This window comes from Homo sapiens, chromosome 18 (assembly GCF_000001405.40).
Source record: "Homo sapiens chromosome 18, GRCh38.p14 Primary Assembly".
NCBI classification, from domain to species: Eukaryota; Metazoa; Chordata; class Mammalia; order Primates; family Hominidae; genus Homo; species Homo sapiens.
The window spans coordinates 72,690,951-72,714,488 of NC_000018.10; the positions used below are offsets into that span (position 1 = coordinate 72,690,951).

The 23,538-nt window shown below is 38.6% G+C and overlaps 1 annotated feature.

The window, feature by feature from the left end:
• Nucleotides 765-1,548: an enhancer, noted in NCBI's record as "OCT4-NANOG-H3K27ac-H3K4me1 hESC enhancer chr18:70358950-70359733 (GRCh37/hg19 assembly coordinates)". NCBI's record gives its function as "activates a minimal SCP1, AML or CMV promoter by ChIP-STARR-seq in naive H9 embryonic stem cells {active_cell/tissue: H9 hESC(naive)}" and the evidence as "EXISTENCE:reporter gene assay evidence [ECO:0000049][PMID:30033119]".

The window sequence follows — 23,538 nt, forward strand, 5'->3', positions numbered from 1 at the left end:
GTGAAGTGACATGATACTTTAATTTATGGGAATTGTTATGTAATAGTAGACATGTAAGAAACATTTATTGAATAAATGGTATCTCGCAACTGGGGAAAAAGCCTTTTTTCTGGGTAATGTTTTCAGACAATGCTTTATTTTAAACTTGAATTATTTACCCTATATATTCCATAATTTCTATTCTTATTCACATACAAAATAAGCATACTATACCTATGTGTTAGCCGTTCTATATCCCCATGTCTTCTGTCTTTCAGGCTAAATGCCCGGTATTCTTCTGCATTCTCCGCATGGCACAGGGTTTAGCTGTGCCCTATCACTCCCATTTTGAACATTCCTCAGCTTGTCTACCTGCCTTACAATATGGGGTGAACTGCTCCAGGTGTGGCATGACTGGAATGGACAACACCAATGTTGGTGTTACTCTCCTTCCTGAGTTTAGTCTTCTATTTGTTTAGTTTAAGGCTGCATTGGATGTTATTGAAGCCTCAGCCTACTGCTGCCTCATACAGAGGTTACTTGCAACGTGCCTGTTTTGTATCCATATTTTTGTATTTTCCTTGTATACATAAATATCCAGTAGCATGAAAACTGGTACATGTGGTAAGTGTATATATAACTTTATAAGAAACTTCCAAACTCTTTGCTGAAGTGGCTATTCCATTTTGCATTATCACCAGGAAAATATCAGTTTCAGTACTTCTACTGACTTATTTTTTTAAAAAGCCATTCTAGTAGGAATGTAATGGTATCTCACTGTGCTTTTCTATTGAATTATTCTAATGACTAATGATGCTCATCTTCTTTTTCATGTATTTATTTATAATCCATATCTGTAATGTTTTAATGTATTCAACAAATTGGACTGGTAGTCATTACTATTGAGTTGTAAATAGTTCTTTACATTACTACATGTAAGTTCTTCCTAGGTATATGTTTCGCATTTTTTTCGGATCTGTGGAATGTCTTTCCATTTTCACAAAGCTGTCTTAAAGAAAAACTAGAATGCTTTACTTTGGATTAACTAATTTATCTTTTTTTAATGGTTGTTTTTGTGGCTTAAGGTCATAAAACCTATGTTTTTTTCAGAAGTGTTATGATGTTAGGTTTTACATTTAGGAGTCTGATTCCTTTTGAGTTAATTTTTTATGTGGCATTGAGACGGCCAGGTGGGAAGGGCTCCCTGGCAAAATTCCAACTGGCCAGCGCGTTGGGAGGGGTGCGCGCTGGGAGGGGTGCGCGCTGGGAGGGGTGCGCGCTGGGAGGGGTGCGCGCTGGGAGGGGTGCGCGCTGGGAGGGGTGCGCGCTGGGTGGAGCCACAGAAGTTGACAGCCTCTGCAGCAGGGAGGAGCCTGGCTCCTGCTCTTCCTGTGTGGAATCTGGGATTCAAACTGTGAGGCAGGAAGCACACCTGCAGTGACTCTGGCTTTGTGGAGTGTCTGTTTCCCCTCTGGCTTTGTGGAGTGTCTCTGTTTCCCCTTTTCTTCCTTTTCATCCAATAAAATCCTGCCTTACTCGCCCTTCAAATTGTCTACAATCCTAAATTTTCGTGGCTGTGTAACAAGGACCCCATCTTTAGCTGAACTAAGGAAAGGTCCTGCAAATTTTTTGGCACACAACGTGGGGGCTCAAGAAGCAGTAAGCAAAATGGGGACTCAACACCTCAGTGTCCCTTCTAAGCCTGTTCATCCTCAGACTTCTGAGGGTAGGGGAAACCGTGCTCCCACCCCCACTGCTCCCAGGGGAGGGGGGCATTTTCATGGCCTTTTCCTGCCTTTCTCGGGACAGACTGGCGAGCAGTGGCTCCCAGCCACCCGTCCCTCCCTGCCGGGGCTGGCACATATGGCTCAAGGCACGACGGGCAGCTGGCTGGCATTATTCTGCCACATGCCCACGGAGTCTCCCCATCCCTGGGCCAGGGAGGCCAACTCCAACCCACAGCAATTAAACTTGTCTCCCTTGTGGAGGAAACACTTGCATAGAAATAAGAGGTTCTTCCCCAGGCATTTTAAAACTTTTTTCTTTCCTCTTCTCTACCCTGTCAGCAGTTAACTTTTAAGCAAGTTTTTTTGTTTTCTTTTGTTTTGTTTTTTTCTGTTAGAAGACACTTTACTAGGCCAGCCCGCCCCAACCCAACTATCACTGTTTATATTCTCCTAAAAGTTTTAGTTGTGAAAAAGGATCCTGTGGGAACTGGGTTTTCTCCTGCCTGTCTGTGTAGGGGTGTGTGTGTGTGATATCTGTAAAAACAGCTCTAAGTAATTGGGCCTAAAGAAAGACAAGCACTTGGATCAAATAATTTTAAAGGGAAGATAAAAGCTCTGGTACTTTTTGGTTCACGTGACTTAATCTTTGAGAAATAAAAACAGCCTTAAAGATTATTGGTAAAAAGCGATGTCATTAAAACGTAAATAGATGAACTAAATTATGCAGGTCAGATGCAAGGTTGGCTAAGTGACTTAAGGTTACAAACTTCTTTTTGGGTTTTGAGAATTATTTGACTTCCCAGCTTCACAATCGTTAAGGCCTTGGGACATATGGAACTAACCACACCCTTAATTATGCTGAAAAAAGTCAAACCTTGGCTGCACCTAGCACACAATTAAATCAACTTACCGGCCGGGTGCAATGGCTCACGCCTATAATCTCAGCACTTTGAGAAGCCGAGATGGGTGGATCACTAGAGGTCAGGAGTTAGATTTCAGGCTGACCAACATGGTGAAACCCCGTCTCTCCTTAAAATACAAAATTAGCTAGGCGTGGTGTTGCACGCCTGTAATGCCAGCTACTGGGGAGGCTGAGGCAGGAGAATCGCTTGAACCCCGGAGGCAGATGTTGCAGTGAGCCGAGATAGCGCCATTGCGCTCCAGCCTGGGCAACAAGAGCAAAATTCCATCTCAAATAAATAAATAAATCAGTAATAATAAAAAACCCCAACTTATCAGGTTTTACATTACTGTTAAAAATTGCTAGGAGTTACTATTATAACATGTAATTGAGACTACTGGAATTAGATTTACATACCAGGTGTGTTAGAACAATAAAATGTGTTTTTTAGTAAAAGGTTATAAGAAGGTATGGAAGTGTCAGTTTTTGCCTAGGGTTAAAGGATTGTTTTAAATTAGACAAGATACAGCTGAAGGTTCAAACAAGGGGAGGAAGGATTGTGGAAATTAATCTTGCAAAAGAAATTCTGTGTGTGAACATAGACTAAATTCAAAAAAAGTATTATATGGATTTGCTGTAAATTGGATATTAAAATAAAAGCACAACAAGGTATTCTTAAGGTGCTAATCTGCTCTTTGGCAAAATTTGTAAGGGGTTATAAAAGGTTTTTGCTTCTTTAAAATTTCTGAGTCATCATTTTGGCAAAATAAATTATAGTAATCTGGAATTATATTTCATAATATCAAGTGTTTTGAACTTCGTACATATTTATCCGGCTTCACAAAATCAAATTTCAGTTTCAAAATTGTCTTTGCTGACACCTGGCTTTTTGGATACTTCAGAGGGCCCCTGGAGTGTCCAGAAAAGAGAGGTAAACAAGAGTATTTGACATGTTTAGGTACATAGGATTGTCAAATGGTGTTTAGGTTATATTTTTGTGAATAATGCTAATATGTGTTCCAAAATCGTATGGAATTTCTAAAATTCTAATGTATAAGTGTATGCTGTCAATCGTAATTAAGGTTGTTATGTTAAGTTATTGTAAACCACAGAGATAATCAAACTTCTTTTTCAATCATGTTTCTAACCGTAACTACCCTGGACACTTTGCTATTTGTAGACAATTGTCTTGTTTTAATCCTTTTCAAAAAATGGTTTATAATAAGCTATGGAACTTTGACAGGTGCTCTCAAATAATTTTGGTGATTGTAATATTGGAATAAAGGAAAATGTGCAGGACTCCTGAAGAGCTAAAATGTTCACAAATATCAAACAAAACAAGAGTTAACTAAATGGACTGAACTCAGAAACTGAAGCAACCTTTTTAACTTTTGCTCAGAATATTTCTAATCTTTGTTTTGTTTTTCGGAATCAACAAAACTTATTTTGAAATGTTTACAGCCTTTAATAATTGAGTATGGTATACTCCTATGAACAAAATTTGGAACATGTTTCTCTCTGCCTGGTTCCTCTAGAATTTGGAAACTATCTGTGAGTATTTTTAACTTAGGGCAATATAGTTGTTTCCATAAGTGCAGTAAGAGTCCACTTTTCTTTTGCAACAGGACACAATTGGAAAAAGTTGGTTATTTTACCATGGCTTTGACTGGAAAGGTAGGCTTCCCTTTAAGGAGTCAATCTAGACTTTCAGAGCCAATAAAACCCAGTGGGGAAACTGGCCTCATACCCTTGTCTATGCAGTCCCTGCACACGGTTCCTGACCTGTGTGGTCAGTAAATAATGTCACTTTGTAACAGGTCCAGAAGCTCCAAATTTGTCTTGGGACCTTAAGAGTTGAGGATCACCCAACTCACAGATATTTGAAGATACAAACCTATGGCTGGGATCAGCTTTAAAAAGTCTTATCTGAGATTCCTTGGGGAACAGAATTCCATTGGAGCCAATCCAAAAGGCCTATGTAGAAATGATTATTCGTGCTGCACTTTATGCAAATTATCAGGCCAAGTATGAGACTATAGCATATTTTGCAAACCACTCAGTCCTATGATGATTTTTTTTTAACAAAAATAAGGATGGGAGAGAGAGGAATTATGTTCCAAACCTTATCATACATTTATCATTAAATTTTAAATGCATTAGTTGTTTTTAAGTTTTGCCTATATTTTAGACTAATTCTGCTTGTTCCTGTGAACGTAGCAGCAATCTCCAGCCGCGGCTCAGAAAGAACAAGAGGGATGGGTAATGTAAACATCTGGATCAAGGCCGGGTTTGGTGGCTCATGCCTGTAATCCCAGCACTTTGCAAGGCTAAGGTGGGTGGATCACGAGGTAAAGAGATCAAGACCATCCTGGCTAACACGGTGAAACCCCGTCTCTACTAAAAATACAAAAATTTAGCCAGGCATGGTGGCCAACACCTGTAGTCCCAGCTACCTGGGAGGCTGAGGCAGGAGAATGGCATGAACCCAGGAGGCAGAACTTGCAGTGAGCCAAGATTGCACCACTGCACTCCAGCCTGTGTGACAGAGCAAGACTCCGTCTCAAAAAAAAAAAAAAAAAAAAATCTGGATCAGTATTCTAGTTTTGAACAATTATCCTGCAAATCTTGCCAGGTGATGCCCATCACTCAGAGGTTTCCTTTTGGGAAAGTAAGATCAAGGGAGCTAACCAAAGCCAACTACCATGCACCCAAATCCGAGCAAGCGTAACTCTAGCCACCAGGTATCTGGGTGTGTCACACGGCATCCTTTTCTCTCCCTTGTTGGAGGAGGACTGAATGCCACAGTTTTACCTTAGCGTTTGACTTATGATAATGAGTCCAAGCAACCTTCCCAAGACAAATTTTTGTCCCAAACTCAATTCCAAGCTTTGGCTCAAAGTCCTACGAAGGAAAAGTGGATCTGAGGGATCCAGAGGCAAATGATAATGGAAGTTAAAAGGCGCAGTGCAGGTGAGCGTGGCTGATTCCTGCCAATTAAACCGAGCTTCTCGTTTCACGGATGAAGGCCACATTACTATCCATGGCATAAATGAGGTCTAGGGAATCCAAGACTACCGAGAGTAAGCAGGAAAGAGACATAGGTAAGAGTGAATAATTCCTGCTCTCTAGGCCTTCCTTGCTTCATGGGTGCAAACTGTTTTAACACCCATGGTGGCACCTGGCAAGGTTGCCGGGACTCAGAGATACAGGATGGAAGAGGGAAAGACCTCTCTCTATCACTCACATACCCCCGATATCTGCTAGGAAGAGAAAGGAAATGGGGACACCTGCTCTCCTCGTTCTAGATGGGTAGCCATTCATCTTCAGTCTGTACCACTTTCAAATGCATCCTGAACTCCTGGGACTCCTTTGAAAAAATGCTGTCTTTTTTCCTTTCTCCTCCCTCTACTCTCTTCGCTGATAGTTAATTGTGTCTCTGTACTATGGGAGACTCCCCTCAGATGCATCATCCAAACTGGGAAAAGTTAATGTCCCAAGCCTTAAACTGGTTGGTTTACAGTTAGGCTCAGGGGAAGGGAACCCAGAAGCCTAACATATTGGCAAAAGGGTAAAGTTTATTTAACCATTTGGGCTTTTGGCCTCCCTCTCTCTGTGCAAACTGGTAAAAGGCCTTGAAATTTTTGAGCTGTCCTAACCCCTGCCCTTTTTCATTTTGATACATGTTTTCTAATCACCCTGTTTGTCTCTTCTTGCCTGCAGGTAACCAAACTCCAAACAGCAATGGAACCAGAGCCTCTGAAGGTGGCCCCTTCTGCTGGCAACCCTTAGACAGGCCTCACAGGGAGCCCTGACTGCTGTTTCCCCAAACAGCATACCCCGTCAGTAGAAAGCACTTAGGATCGATTTTCGGGCCCACTTGGTGGCACGTGCCTGTAATCCCAGCACTTTGGGAGGGCAGGATGGGTGGATCACTTGAGGTCGGAAGTCTGAGACCAGCCTGACCAACATGGCAAAACCTCGTCTCTACTAAAAATACAAAAATTAGCCAGGCTAGCCAGGCATGGTGGCACATGCCTGTAATCCCAGCTACTTTGGAGACTGAGGTAGGAGAATCACTTGAACCCGGGAGGCAGAGATTGCACTGAGCTGAGATCGTGCTGCTACACTCCAGCCCGGGTGACAGAGCAAAACCCCGTCTCAAAAAAAATAAATAAATAAAGATAAATATAAATACATATCAGGCTTGTCTTCATCCTTATTCTAATGACACTTGGTTAGACTTCTTTAGAGGCGGGAATGACACTACCAGGTGGGGGAGGATCCAGGGAAAACTCCACCAGCCTGCACACAGGGGTGAAGCCTCAGCAAGTTTGCACTCTTTGCAGTGGGAGGAGCCTGCCTTTTCTCTTCCTGTGTGGAACTTACGACTCAGACTGCGAGGCAGGAAGTGCACTAGCAGAGACTCTGGCTTGCAGAGGGTCGTTTCTCCTTTCTTCCTTTTCTCCCAATAAAACCCTGCATTCCTCACCCTTCAAATGGTCTGCAAGCCTACATTTTCATGACCCTGTGACCAGGACCCCGTCTGTAGCTGAACTAAGGAAAAGTCCCGCAATCGCATGTGTTCAGGGTTAAGGCTAATTTGTTTATATGTAGATAACCAATTTTCCCAGCATGGTTTGTTGAAGAGAATTTTCACTTACTTCTCTGAGGTTTTGGCTTATGTCTTTAGTCTCACAGTTCACATCAATGATTCAAAATGTGTCAGAGTTTTTGAGAAAAAGATCAGCTGTATGACTGAAGTCTGTCAAATATCCAATTGTGCCACTGAATCCCTCTGCAAACACTGAAAGCTCAGCTTATTTCTCTAATACTGCCATAGCAGCCCTATAAGTTTCTCTGTCTTCTGGAATTTTATGCTTTTAAATACTCCCTGGTTGCACAGGTTTTCCAATTCTCACAGGTAGCATTGGCCTGATGTGAGCTACTTATCCTACCCAGAGGTACGAGTGTCCTCTTTGTGGAAAACATATTCAATAAATATTTTCACATTTCCGCAAAGTTGGGACTTACTGAGCAAAGAATACTAAAAACCTCAGCAAAAGAATGGCTTAGTAGAAAACATATCTTGTAAGTTAAAGATACTTCATTTCTCTGATAGACTTAAAGTCTTTCCCCTGAAGCCATTTGTTTATGTTCTAGGATGATAAAGGAAAAAAATAGAGATCTTTTTCTCTCCCCAGAAAGGATTTGTTTACATTTCAGAGCATGGTCTCCTTCTTGCTTTAACTCTTGCTCCTGTGACTCTGGAGGCAAGAAGGGGCAGATGGGCCAACTATCCTATAAAAGCTCCTAGAGTCATAATTTCAGGGTTCCTCTCTTGTGGCACAAATCCCATTGGAGACACAGGTGACATCTCGCTCTCATTGTCTCACAGACAACTGGGCCATGGAAAACTGACACAAGAGTCTCTGTGAGAAAATAAAAAATGTGTTCCCCAATACAAAGTTCTCATATTTTTTAATGTATATCTACATATCTATATATCCATCCATCCCAGCCTAATTATTTGACTTGCGAGTAACATCTCAGATCCTTCACATTTTGAACTTAACACTCATATCATTTAATAATCAAGCATTCTAGTATACTTGTCAGAGATGGAAATCAATTTTATTTAAATTAATTAAATTCTACATGGACTTCCTGGTATTTCAAATGCATAAGACCTCCTTTACCATTCTGTTTTTCACAAAATCTTAATCAGTATCATATTTTAAACATGCTGTTTGTAGGCTGGGCGCTGTGGCTCATGCCTGTAATCCCAGCACTTTGGGAGACCGAGGTGGGCGGATCACTTGAGGTCAGGAGTTTGAGACTAGCCAACATGGCGAAACTCCGTCTCTACTAAAAATACAAAAAAAAATAGCCGGGCGTGGTGGCGGGCACCTGTAATTCCAGCTACTCAGGGGGTTGAGGCAGGAAAATCGCTTGAACCCTGAAGGTAGAGGTTGCAGTGAGCCGAGATCGCTTCACTGCACTCCAGCCTGAGCAATAGAGCCAGACTCCATCTCAAAAAATAAAAATAAAAATAAAAATACATACTGTTTGTCAAGATGAATAAAAAGTTGATGCTTAACAGATATTTGAAAATGGCAAATCAATATATGGGTTCTCTATGATGGCTCCGTTTGGCCTCAAAAATTAATAAAAATGATGGATATGTGAAACTGCATAGGTGATAAAATTGTGCAGGACTTAATTCACAATGTAAATGAGAACACATATAACTGGAAAACTTTGAATATGATTAGTGAATTATATAAACGTTAACATCCTGATTGTGATATTATATATAGTTTTGTAAAATGTTACCATTTGGGAAGTCAAGCAAAATATAATAGAGATCTGTCTGTCTGTATTATTTCTTATAATTATATTTAACTCTATAATTATCTAAATTAAAATGTCTATTAAAAACTAGTGAAAGTGTTTTAGGAAGGCCAACGAGTGTAAGGAAATCACATGCTTTATCACCCCAAGATTACCACCTACACTCAGTATTTATGTAATTTTCATTTTAAAAATCCAGAAAATAAGCGGGGCATGGCGACTCACACCTGTAATCCCAGCACTTTGGGAGGCTGAGGTGGGTGGATAAACTGAGGTCAGGAGTTTGAGACCAGCCTGACCAACATGGTGAAACCCCAGTCTCTTAAAAATAGAAAATTAGCCAGGCATGGTGGCACATGCCTATAATCCCAGCTACTTGGGAGGCTGAGGCAGGAGGAGAATCGCTTGAACCCCGGGAAGTGGAGGTTGCAGTGAGCTGAGATCATGTCATTGCACTCCAGCATGGGCAACAAGAGTAAAACTCTCTCTCTCTCTCTCTCTCTCTCTCTATATATATATACACACATATATATATACACACATATATATACACACACATATACACATATATATACACACATATATACACACACATATATACACACATATATACACACACATATATATACACACATATATACACACATATATACACATATACACACATATACACACATATATACACATATATACACACATATATACACACATACATATACACATATATACACATATATACACACATATATACACATATATACACATATATATACACATATATATATACACACATATATATATACACACATATATATATACACACATATATACACACATATATATACACACATATATATATCCGGATATATATATATCTCTCCAGAAAATAGGATCAATTAGCATTGCTCCACATGTTTGTCCAAATGGTATTTTTTCTAGTTCTATGTATTACTGTTCAGAGTACAGGTGAATCAGGTTTCTTAGTGAGGTGACTGACAGCAAACAATACAGGCCGTATCTGCATCCCTGAATGTGTTATAATACCCTTGCATTTTGCATATCTGTACAACTGATACAATGTCCTGAGCACATATCCAGGCTCAGCTATGTGAAGAATTATTCCAAATTTATTTATATAAAGTAGGACTTGTTGCATTTATTTATATAAAGTAGGGCTTAGTTGTATTGGTGCAGCTGAGCTTACAGTAAATTTTATATGGTTCTCAAATATCACTTGGAATTATCCAACCACAGCTGTTCCAGTTGGTGGGGGAGCAAGACCTAGAAGTTATTTTCTGCAAACTACTCAGCTATCAACTGTTTATGCTAGCTGCACTTTTATTTTCTATTATTTAGATAAGCAACACTTGTATGATTCCTGTAAGTCATTTCTGTATTTAGTTTTTAAATTGCACTTAGCCTTCTCCTGACAATTGACCATATGCTGTTCACACATTTTTACTACCAAATCTTTGTAACTATGAAAATATACTCATCTCTGAAGTATATGATTTAGAATCTTAGAGCAATGAAAATGGAATTATGGTGTTGCCCTGAAACTGAAAATTCATAACAAGGCATGTTCTGTTCTCCCCACCAGATGTCACCCTCATACTTCCTTAAGAATCTAGAAACTTCATTAGGCAATAATTTTTTGGAATTTTCTGTAGCTGTTTAGTGATACATTTCACTCTCTCAGCTTTGTGTGTTTGTAGAAAATCCATTTCAAGTCATGTCATCATTAGAGGAATATTTTCTACTGTTAACACACGACTTTAAATAAAATTGGAGACTGATTCTAACCATTACAACCGCTGAAGGAGCTTTCTGTTATTACTGATGCTGACCCACAACTTAGAAAAGCAAAGTTCCACATGCTCAGATATTTGCAGTCTCTATTTCCACTTCATTTGAAAGGAAGAGGATAAATCCATCAGGGTTCTGGAAATGCATGCAAACCGCACTGTCCACTCCTGCATCAAGCCTCAGACTATCAGATCTTTGGATGTTGCTACACTCGGTAGAAGGCACCTGGCAGCCGCTGCGGGACTACAGATGTGAGCCTCCTCCTTTAACCGAGTCAGGTGTGCCTTGAGACCAGGTAGGAGATTGTTAGATGCTGTTTGTTTGTTTGTTTTTCATTTGTTTTCACTGAATGTTGCATGAGACTATTTTAAAAACGCTTTGAGATACTCTTTCTCAAAGAAAGATTATTCATAATCCACCCAAGTCTGCAAAATTCACAACCCACCCCTCCGCCATTTTATAAACTATGCAACATATTTGATAGTGGTCAAGTGAGAAAACCAAAATCAAACATCCAAAACTGGATATTCGAAATTGAGTCTGTATCACTCCAAAGTCAAACTATTTCCACTACAAAAATTGCCTACTCACAAACCCAAATGTATAACTGGTTGCCATATTTGAGTCATTTGTAGCATTAGTATTCATCACATATACATGGGTTCTGCATGAGAATCACTTAAAATAGTTTACTTTGAATTTAACAACACTTTTTTAAACTGCTACATTTATGAACCAATATAATTATGTTAACATTAATATAAGTAATATTGCTAATATTAATATAAGTAATATTATTAATATTAATATAAGTAATGTTAGTAAATACAAAAATAAAAAGGTCATATTTCATTTCACAGACCTAGTTTAAGCCCCATAAATTTATTTCAATTCTTAAACATTAAAAAATTATAGTTTGAGTTACCATATGTCTCTTCAAGTTAGATAAATAAAGTTTCTTTGAAAGTCTTCCTTAACTGCCAGTTCTGCTCATTGAAATGGCTTTATACACAGTGATGAAAAGGAATAAGAACCAGTGAAGCTTCCAGATAATGGATACTGAATGTTAATACATAAAAGCCAAATATGCAATTACTATTTATGAAACAAACAACCCCCTAATATATAATAATATTGAGGGTTATAATAATAATAATAATATTAGTCTGTTCTTGCAACATGATAAAGAAATACCTGAAGCTGGGTAATTTGTAAAGAAAAAAGGTTTATTGGCTTATGGTTGTGAGGGTTGTACAAGTGCAGCACCTGCATCTGTTTGGCTTCAGGTGCGGGCCTCAGGAAGCTTATAATCATGGTGGAAAGAGAAGCAAGAGCAGGTGCATCACATGGCAAGAGAGAGCAAGGGCAGTGGGGAGGTGCCGCGCACTTTTTAAACAACTGAATCTCAAATGAACTCAGAGTGGGAACTCACTTACAAGAGGAGGGCACTAAAACATTCATGAGGGATTAACCTCCTTGACTCAAATACCTCTGACCAGACCCCACCTCTAACACTGAGGATTACATTTCAACATGAGATGTGGAGAGAACAAACATCCAGACCATATCAGGTACTTATTTTAATGTTGATGGTTCCAAATTATATTCAATTTTCTTCAGCAAAGGAAATGATGTAAAATTGTTATGCTAAACAAATTGTGCAAATCTGATTTAAAGTATGAAACAACATGTTTTAAATTGTTAAATTCAATTGTAAACATTGAATGCATCATATATAGATGATATTTTCTTTGGTGCTGATATTTAAGTTACAAGAAATAATTTCAGAGATAGGTGAGAAAAATTCATAGTAGTAATAGTAATATCTTGGCTAAAAATGTATTATCTTCTGTTCATACTTCTCAATTTTTACTTCGGTCATGTATAACTTAATGAAATATTAGAGTGGGGGGATTTGTACAGGCAACATGAGTTATTATTCTACATGCAAACTGTTGTCAACTCAATTCCTTTGTGATGTGATCCCTGTAAACTCTTGTTACTATCTGAAAACCTATTACTTAGCAACAATACAATGCCAGGCTCTGAAGAGGTTTAACACTCCTTCTCTACTATTGGCTGTGAGAAGAATGACTTCATGATTTGTTTGAATTGGTCAATAAATAGGACATTGTTGCCTTATTAATTCTAATAAATTAATAGGAATACTACACCTTAAAGATTAAAAAATATAGAAAACTTCTGCTTATGGTTAACATGAAGTAGAAGTACTTTTCCCGTTTTCCTTCTGCTAAGCATGAACAAAACTCTGAACATTATGTACAAAGAAAACATAAAAAGACTCTGAAATGTAGTCAGAAGGAAAGAGACCAGGTAGTAAATATGAGACCCAAGGAAGGAATAAATAATAAGTTCTTGGTCTGCTTTGGCCTTATATATCCCAGACTTGAAACTGAAGAATTCTGTCAGCAACCTGGAAACATCAACGGACACAGTCAAAATAAGTCCCAACAAAAGCCTGCTTTCTCTGGCCAAAGCATCAGAAAAGGTGCAACATAGGAAAACAGAACATTTCAGACAATACGTTCTCTACTTCAGCAAACAGCACAGGAGCAAATGAGGCCCTATCCCCACCACCGCCATCAAAGGGAGTAGGGAGCTTAGATTTCCACCTTTGCTAGACTGTAGCAAGGAAGGTGTCACCCTGGCTGAGCAGTAACAAGACACCCCCACACTGCAGTGCCAGCGCAGACCATGTAGGGAGCCTGGACTTCATCTCCGTTCAGCAGCAATGAGACACCCCTGCTGGAGAAGGGGCTAGGACAGATTCAAGACATTCACTAGTAGCCAACTGCCTGAACTAGTCAAGCCCCCTCCCTCATTGTCAGAGCAGGTCAACTGGGGAGCAGTACAAGACCCCTACTCCTCCAAGCCCGGGCAGTGTTAGTTAAGGCCAACTGAGGAGCCAAATTCTCACCCCACCAACAGCAAGGAACAGCCCTTATCCCCTCCTTTCCTGTCAACATAGACTGAGTCGGGGACCTGGACCTCCAACCCCACCTGACACTAATAAGGTGCTGCCTCCTCCCCCAGTCTGACAAGTGTGAGAGGTAGCCCGCTGAATCAGAAAACTAAATATAATCCAAGGGGTCATATTATGTCCTGGTTTCAGCTGAAAGTCACTTGTCATGCCAAGAAGCAGGAAAAACAAAATTTTTCTCATTTAAGAAAAAGTGAACCAACAGACTGCAAACACCAAGAAGATACAGATACTAGAATTGTCTGATGAGGAGCTTAAAGTAGCCACAATAAAATGCTTCAACGTTACGAGCACACTTGAAACAAATAAAGAAGGTATTTATTTCTCAGGAAAGAAATAAAAGATACAAAAGAGAACCAATTGAAAATTGGAGGACCAAATTTAGAACTGTGAAATCAAACTAGAACACAAAACTCAATGGACGGGCTCCATTATAGATTGGAGAATCAAAAGAATCAGTAAACTTGAAGACAGAAGAATAAATATTACACAGCAGCTAAAAACGAGAGAAGTTGACCAAAAACAATTGCATAGAGCCACAAGGGCCTGTGTGATTATACCCCAAGATGTAAAATATGTATCATCTCCATCCTAAATGGAGAGAAGAAAGAAGGCAGGATTGAAAACATAGTTGGAAAATTAATGGCTAGTTCCCAAATTTGGCAAAAAGACATAAACCTACAGATTCAAGTAGCTGTGTAAACTAAAAACTGTATAAAACCAAGGAAATCTATAAGATACCTCATAGTCAAATTTATGAAAGCCTTGGATAGAGAAAAAAAAAATGAAAGCAGAGAACAATACCTCACCTTTCGGGAAAATAACAGTTCTAATGACGGGATTTCTCATCAAAAATCATGAGGTGAGAAGAGGAAGTGTCACAGAGTTTTTTTGTTTGTTTTTTGTTTGTTTGTTTGTGTTTCTTTTTTTTTTCTTTTTTAAGTGCTAAAGGAAAAGGACTATCAATCCTCCATTCTATGTTCAGCAAAAAGATCCCTCAGTAATGAAGGGAGAGTCAAGGCATTCTCAGATGGAGGAAATTTAGGATTATGTTTCTGGCACACCTACTCAAAGAAATGCTAAAGGAATTCCTCTAAACAGAAAGGAAGAGATAAAGGAAGGAGCTTGGAACATCATAAAGGAGGAAGAACACAATAAGGAAAAATGTGGGCAAATACAATAGTTTTTTCTTCTCCTTTTGAGTTTTATAAACTATGCTTGATGGTAGAAGAAAAATATAACACTGCTCTGGGTTTCAATGCAGGTAAATGAAAAATTTAAGACATATAAACAGAGAGGTAAGGTTACATAAAAGTGGTAAAGTTTCTACACTTCACTGAAGCTGGCAAAATGTTGGCACCAGTAAAATGTAATGTGAGGTCTATATAATCTTAAAGTAATCACTAAAAGAGACTACACAAGAGAACTACTAGATGGAAAATCAGGAGATCCACTGATTCCAGGAATCACAGAGATCCACTCAAAACTTTACAGATAAATAAAAATAATCTAAAACAAAACTTTAACCCACAGGGAGGCAAAGGAATGAAGAACAGAATACAAGAAATAAAAATAAAAAAATAGCAGACTTAAGCCCTAACATCAATAACTACATTATAGTTAAAGGGTCTAAAGACACCAATGAAAACTCAGAGATATGAAGAATGGACAAAAATAAAATAAAACTCAATCCAACTTTAAGCCACTTATAAAAGAAAGTCACTTCAAATGTAATGAATAGGTTGAAAATAAAAGGATGGAAAAGATCTAGCATGCAAACATTAATCAAAAGAAAGCAGAAGCAGTTTATTAAAATTAGTTAGAGTGGACTTTAAAGCAAAGAAAAATACCAGGTACAAAGACAGTCAACACATCATGATCCACCAGGAAGCAGTCACAGCAATCCTAAATGTGTAAGTGCCAAACTATAGATCTGCAAAAGATGTGAAACAAAAACTGATAGAAATGGAAGGAGAAATAGACAAATTCATCATTATAGCTGGAGACTTCAATATCCCTTTCTCAAAAAGTAGTTGAACAACTAGACGGAAAATCGGCAAGGATATAGAGGAATTCAACAACACTACCAACCAACAGATTCTAATCAATAATCATAGAACATTTCAAACAAGAGCCAGGTATGCATTTTTTTTAAGTGCTCGTGGAAGACTTACCAAGAAAGTCCATATTCTAGGTCATGAAACAAACCTCAATAAATTCAAAACAACCGAAATTACACAGAATATGTTCCTTGATCACAGTGGACTCAAACTAGAAATCAGTAGCAGAAAGATAAGTGAAAATAATCAAAACACTTGGAAACTAAACAATATACTTCTAAATAATCCCTTGAAAGTATCTCAAAGGAAACAAAAGAAAAAAATTGTATCAAGTAAAACTTCATTGAACTAAATAGATTTATAGGAATTTACAGAATGGTTCCTAGAAGATGTTAAAAAGGGCAACAAACCAAGATTTATAACAGGAAATTTAGGCTGGATCAATATTTGTATCATAGAATATCAGTTTCTTACAATTATTAGGTTGGCGCAATTGTCCTTGCGGTATTTGCCATTGAAAGTAATGGCAACACTGCAATTACTTTTGCACCAACCTAAAACAATGTAATTATCCAATATTTTAAATTATTTTTTCAGTAATTTGTAATAAAAATTGCCATTGGGTGTTAGGTATGTTGTGGTTTACATTTTTTAAAAAAATATATATTATGACCGGGTGCAACGGCTCACGCCTGTAATCCCAGCACTTTGGGAGGGCGAGGCGGGCAGATCACGAGGTCAGGAGATCGAGACCATCCTGGCTAACATGGTGAAACCCCGTCTCTACTAAAAATACAAAAGATTAGCCGGGTGGGGTGGTGGGCGCCTGTAGTCCCAGCTACTCGGGAGGCTGAGGCAGGAGAATGGCGTGAACCCGGGAGGCGGAGCTTGCAGTGAGCCGAGATCCCGCCACTGCACTCCAGCCTGGGCGACAGAGTGAGACTCCGTCTCAAAAAAAAAAAAAATTATATATATATACACACACACATATATATATATATAGATATATAATTTGCATAAAGACTTTAAATGGAAAGTCACCAAAACATGACTGTACTTGAGAAAAGTCCTTCAACAGATAAGTCTCTGGTTGGCAATGTAGGTAACTAAGCCATAGCCAAACATGTACTTACCCTTATGTAGCATCAGAAATGGCTTCCTTTTGTGAAAGGATTTATTCTTTAGAGAAACAACAGAGATTTAATTCCATATCTCTGATTACAATAAGGACAATTTAACGTCAAAGAAGAAACAAAGGCTGTTGATGTACTTTCTAAACATCTGGCAAAACATTTTAAGACACTGAGTTAACGTGTGTAGAAGGATTTATAGAAGGTGTCTTTTTGGCATGTAGTATCTGAGGGAACAATTATGAAGTTGTTTCCTTACACAAACAAACTTCTGGCAAATTGATGTGCTGACGTGCTGTGAATTAGCATCCTGACCCACTGTCATTTGTTAGTTAGCGTGATGGGTACCTTAAAATCCAGCTAGAAGTTGTTATATAAGAAAAAGATACAATAACAGGCCATCTGTTATTCCTATTGGTAAATGAACACCATGAGCTCTGGTTAATGCTGTTGATGTAAAACGTAAGGGAGGTGTTATAAAACTGCTCGCTGACAGGTATAAACACACTTCAAATTACGTGTGGGATTAATCAACAAAATGTGTGGCTCTCATCAGCCAGCTGCTCCATGTAGACAAGTGCCATGTCCCAGCAGAAGAGAGGCCAATCAAAGTCCCTGCTTCCCTCACCTATGTCCACAGTGTGCAGGCGAAAGCTCACCTGAATTCAGATAAGAATATGGGGCAAGGGGAGAATGATTTTGAGCTATGTGACAGAAGTCAGTGCAACAGATAGAATAATTCGTATATCATTAGTATATCATTAACACTACAATAATTAGTATATCATGAATATAAAATGAGAGAAAGACTATTATTTAAGCTGTTACCTTAGGCAGTTCATTTATTGGAAAGTAGTTATTGGAAAAACAAACAATATAGTAACACCTTTAGGCAGATGTTTTCAATTTGAAATATAAACTGAATATTTTGCCCTTGGGGAAATCACAAAATTAAGTGATTTACTCAAGGTCATGGCAAGTCAGTAGCAGAGCTGATGATAGAAACTGCTTCTATTTCTGATCAGACTATTTATCCCTCTTCCCAAAATGCTACTGTCAAACAGAACTCAGATATTTTTTAAAATTTAATGCACAGGAACATACTTTGTAGAGTTGACACCCAAGTCATGACATTCTGAGACATGGAAGCTGTCAATCTGCCCATGAGGAGCACTAGTGTCCCTGACTATAGAGACCTGCAGAGTCTCTTTGTCCATGGGAAAAATGTATTGTTGTGTTGGAGACAGAATGTGCATGGGGCCTTTGCTTTGCAACAGGCATGACAAGAAAACAAGGAAGTAGGTAGGCACTAAAATCTAAACAAACAACATTTTGGCTTCCTTTTTTTCTGCACATACTGTGAATCTCATGAGATGTAAGTCGTAGACTTGGTATGGTCAGTAATTTGTTAGGCAAGTTATTTCACCACTTAAAGTCTTAGTCTCTTAGTTCTTAAAATGAGAAGACTGATTACATGTGCTTCTGTTTCCATGACTGATTCCTAAATCTGTGAAATCAGGGTATAATTTGCTTTTATAGAGCTATGGATGTGAAATAATAATATACTGCATAGAAAGGATCTGATAGAATAGAGCAATGGCGGAGAGTAAGAAAAAAAAAACAAACAAAAACACATGCAGCCTCCACAGAGAACATGAACTGCATTTCATTCATGCAGGTTTTCCAGTGGCACACAGCAAGGACCTCGTGATGTCCTCTTAGTGCACTCTGTCCATATCCAGAGTAAAGCTTAGCATGTTGGATGTGATGTATCTGTTAGTAAGAAAGATTTTGAAAAGGACGAATCTCCATTATGATACACATAGCTATTTCATTATTACAAAGTGAGCCATCAGTATTACAGTCTTGAGGAAGGGTGAGCTGGAGTGCACTAGTTTGTGACTGCATTACAGAATTGGTAGGATCTACACAGGTGTATGTCATATGCACATAGGCACATGAAGTTCTAACCAGAGAAGCTCAATAGAATGTTGGTTTTTTTAATGGACAGTTCAGTTCTTGCGAATTAGGGTAGTTCAGAATTGCCTCTCTTTAGCTTCAATAAGCTCTTTACAATTTTGTTTCTATATTCTGCCATTAAATCAAATGAAAGTGCTCAGCAGGGTTTAGGGTGCCCTCACCTTAACAACAATAATCTAGCAAAAAATCCAACTACTGAATATAATTCGGTGCTCTGATTCTCAGGCCTATATTCTAATCCCAGCACAGTTGATTACTATCCCTGAAGCCTCTTACAAGCGTTTTAAAACTTCTGGCCCTCTGTTTTCTCAGTGGTAAAATGCTATAAGAATTTAACTTTATAACATGTGAAAATATATAAGCAATTAAGCATGAAAATATATAGCTGGTGTTATTCTCATGGCACTTTCTAATTGTTTCCCACACATCCAGGCTCATCTACACATCCACACATCAGTTCAAAGCAATATTACACATATTTTGCAGGAGAATCCTCTTAAATCATAGCCTTGATTCTCTGATCTCCTGTTCCTACTACTTCTCTGGCACCATACTTCCTCTATTCTAGTTGCCTACACATAAAGTCTAAATCCCCTGTCATGGCTGTGGAGACCCTTCCCAGTCTGGCCCATGCACAGCATGTTCCAGGTACAGTGGCCTGAATACAGCCCTCACCTTATCACCTTTCTACACATCCCCCTGATCAGCTCACCCTTTCCTTCTCTGTTCAACTGCAGAAGGCCTCCCGCTCCCTAAGTGCTGACTCAAACACATACTCGTGAATCTTTACTGGGCCTCACTGCACTCCCAACACTGAACATTGATGTAGAAGTACCAAGGTAACATTTGGTGCCTCATTTGAAAATAATTTTATCATTAAAGTGACTTTTCACCATTTATTTTAATAAATATATGTATATACTAGGTTGTATATTTATATACTAGCACAGTTTTTCAATACAGTAGCATTGTATCGACTATATTTGGGGGCTGGAAACAACCAGCTTCCAAAATAATATCATAGATTCTTTTGAGATACTCTGATAGGAAACTCAAGATATAGCAAAATTTTAATTTGAGAGAGGGCATAACTTAGAGAGCAGTTAGTCACATTAAAAGAAAGTTCATCATTTGGTTCTTGCAAACAGTGATTTCCCTGAGTACCTTTAAAATACTATTTGATATATACTGAATATTTCAGGGGCTTGGTGTTGCATAAATCAAGGTACAGACTCTAGGTTTAATTATTTTGAGAGAAGGGCTCAGTTGTGAGAGCTGTCATGGCAGAATTAAAGTTCTCAGAAACTAGAGTGGTCATAATAAGTTGATGTTTCAGGAAAAAATTACATATTCCCAAAAGTTTAGTACAGCTTTTCTTTTAAAACCTGATCAGGGAGACAGAGGAATGTCTTATTTTTCTTTGTGGGTAATTCAACTAAGTTAAGATAAACCAATCATTCTCTTAAGTATTGCAGTAGTACTTGTACTTAAAGAACAAAATAAAATAATTAGTAAATATACCTGAGAAACTGGCTCCAGATTTTATTGGTAATAAAGAATACAGATAGACAGATAGATGATAGATTGGTAGATACATAGATATATCACAATGTCTTCAGTGTACAGTACCATTCTAGGGAAAATTTAAAGGCCTAGACAGTCTAGCACACACTATTGTTTATTGTTAGTTGGTGTTTTATGTGGTAAAGGCAGAACTTCCCCATGCTCATTGGAAGTCAATAATTAATTAATCAATTAGCATTTGCAATAACAATAGCATACTGTATTTATAAACTGAGTTATAATACACAATACCAATACAGCTTTCTTAAATATCCACTAGAATCTCTCAAATAGCTTGTGCAATATGCAAGGCAGTTGCACACAAACAAAAGCAGTCTAGGCCACCAGGAAAATAGGAAATATATTAAATATATCAAAAACAAACCAGTGAATGGCTAGCTATACTTAGAATAGCTATGAGAGAGAGTATTACTGAGCAGGAACAAATACCACTTTAGGGAGCGTGCATTTGCTGAGGAACATGTGGTTCTTGAAAATTAATGACTGAAGAGTATGATACATATGGTAAGCTGACTGCCTCTCAGCTGTCCAAGACCATGAAGTTAGGTGGGTTATTACTGCTGCAAGACAAGGATGTTAATGCTACCTACATGCTGGAAAGGGTGGGCAACCTATGCTGCAAATTTTCCACACTAAACTGTAAGGTACTGTATTAGTCCATTTTCACGCAGCTGATAAAGACATATCTGAGACTGGGATGAAAAAGAAGTTTAGTGGACTTACAGTTCCACATGGCTGGGGAGGCCTCACAATCATGGCAGAAGACAAGGAGGAGCAAGTCTCTAGAAAGTTCTGAAATATCTCACATTTCCCTGTCTTCTTCTGAGCCCTCCAAACTGTTCCAACCCCCACCTGTTAACCAGTTCCAAAGTTGCTTCCACATTTTCGGGTATCCACAGCGGCACCCCACTCCTGGTATCAGTTTACTAGTCAGTTTTCACACTGCTGAAAAAGATACACCCAAGACTGGGAAGAAAGAGGTTTAATGGACTTGCAGTTCCACATGGATGGGGAGGCCTCACAATCATGGCGGAAGGCAAGGAGAAGCAAGTCATGTCTTACATGGATGGCGGCAGGCAAAAAGAGAGGCAAAGAGGGCAGGAAAACTCCCCTTTATAGAAACATCAGATCTAGTGAGACTTATTCACTATCACGAGAACAGCACAGGAAAGACCTGCCCCCATGATTTAATTACTCCCACCTCGTCCCTCCCACAACACATGGGAATTCACGATGAGATTTGAGTGGGGATACAGCCAAACCATATCAGGTGCATTATTTTCTCCAACCTCAGAAACATTTGCTATCAAATATGTTTTGCAATTTTTATTTTATATTGGCTATAGTAATACAGAACAAGAAAAATGAAAGTGATATGAAATTGGCTCAGAGACAAAAAATTTATAGAAAAATAATTCATCTAATGGTAAATACATTTATTGCTTTTAACTTATTATTATTATTAATTATTTTGTTTTGAAACAGGCTCTGTTGCCTATGGTGGTGTGCAGTGGCAGGATCATGGCTGTAGTCTTGAACTCCTGGGCTTAAGGAATCCTCCAATCTCAGCCTCCCAAGTAGCCAGGACTATAGGCACACACCACCACACCTGGCTATATTTTTTTTAAATTTTTGTAGCGATAGGGTCTCACTGTGTTGCCCAGGCTGGCCTCCACCTCCTGGCCTCAAACAATCCTCCCATCTTGGCTTCCCAAAGTGCTGATATTACAGGTATGAGCCACGGTACCCAGGCTTAACTTATTATTTGTTAAGACTAAATAATTCTTAAACTATAGATAACACTTAAAAGATAGAAATATGATATACTAGGTAGATATAAATTATGGTTTTATAATTTTACTTCTTAATGTTTATTTTACATTCATTTATAATATTTATAATATTATCCTTATATTTATTCTCCTTTTGTAAGTCATGACATGTAAGTAAAATATAAATCTCACATATTTCAAAAAGGAAAATATTTTATCCCTATAAGGGTCACCACCCAGAGACGACGGGTCTTAACATTTGGTTTATACATTCCTTCTTGACTATTCAGTTTCACACACACACACACACACACACACACACACACACACACACACACGAAAATGCTTACATATATAAGGTAAATTATATACACTTATTTAACAAAAGCATGATCTTTTACTATATGTCATTTTCTGACAATGCAACAAGAATATCTTTTCATGTAACTAAAATACAAACGTGTCATAATTTTTATTGGCAGCACTGTATTTCAATATATGGAAGTAACAATTAGCAAATTAATTAATTGATTTGGAATTAATGCCTTAAAAGAGGAAACCTTTGTTTTTTACCCACTGTCTTCACAATGTCTACTCTCCTTTCCCTATTCACTAAGACACCATAACTTTTTATTTAATTGCCATTTTAGAACTATTGTGCTTTCAGTTAAACTTTTTAAAATTCAGCCTGATTATAATAGACAATTCCAATTGTCACTCAGTTCAAAACCTGCCCCTCATCTCTGCTCCAAGCTCATGTCTAACGGAGGAAGAAGAGGAACTCTTACTATCCTTATTTTTGTTTATTTCCCCATCCCCAGCTTCCCATACTGATTCTGGGTATTCTAGGTCCTAGCGGTCACCTAGAGTGGGAGGACAAGGTGGTGGCAGAGACTGGGTAGTGGTTCACCAACCCCCATGCTCTCACTCTTTTTTTTTTTTTTGAGACGGAGTCTTGCTCTGTCTCCCAGGCTGGAGTGCAGTGGCTCCATCTCAGCTCACTGCAAGCTCCGCCTCCCGGGTTCAAGCCATTCTCCTGCCTCAGCCTCCCGAGTAGCTGGGACTACAGACGCCTGCCACCATGCCTGGCTAATTTTTTGTATTTTTAGTAGAGATGGGGTTTCATGGCATCTTTCTAGATGGCTTTACTAGCCCTCATAGAGGTCGATCATGTGACTCAGACAGCCAATGGAGTGGGAGTAGAAGTGACACCTGCCAAGGAGATGGGACCACGTGATTGAGGGCAT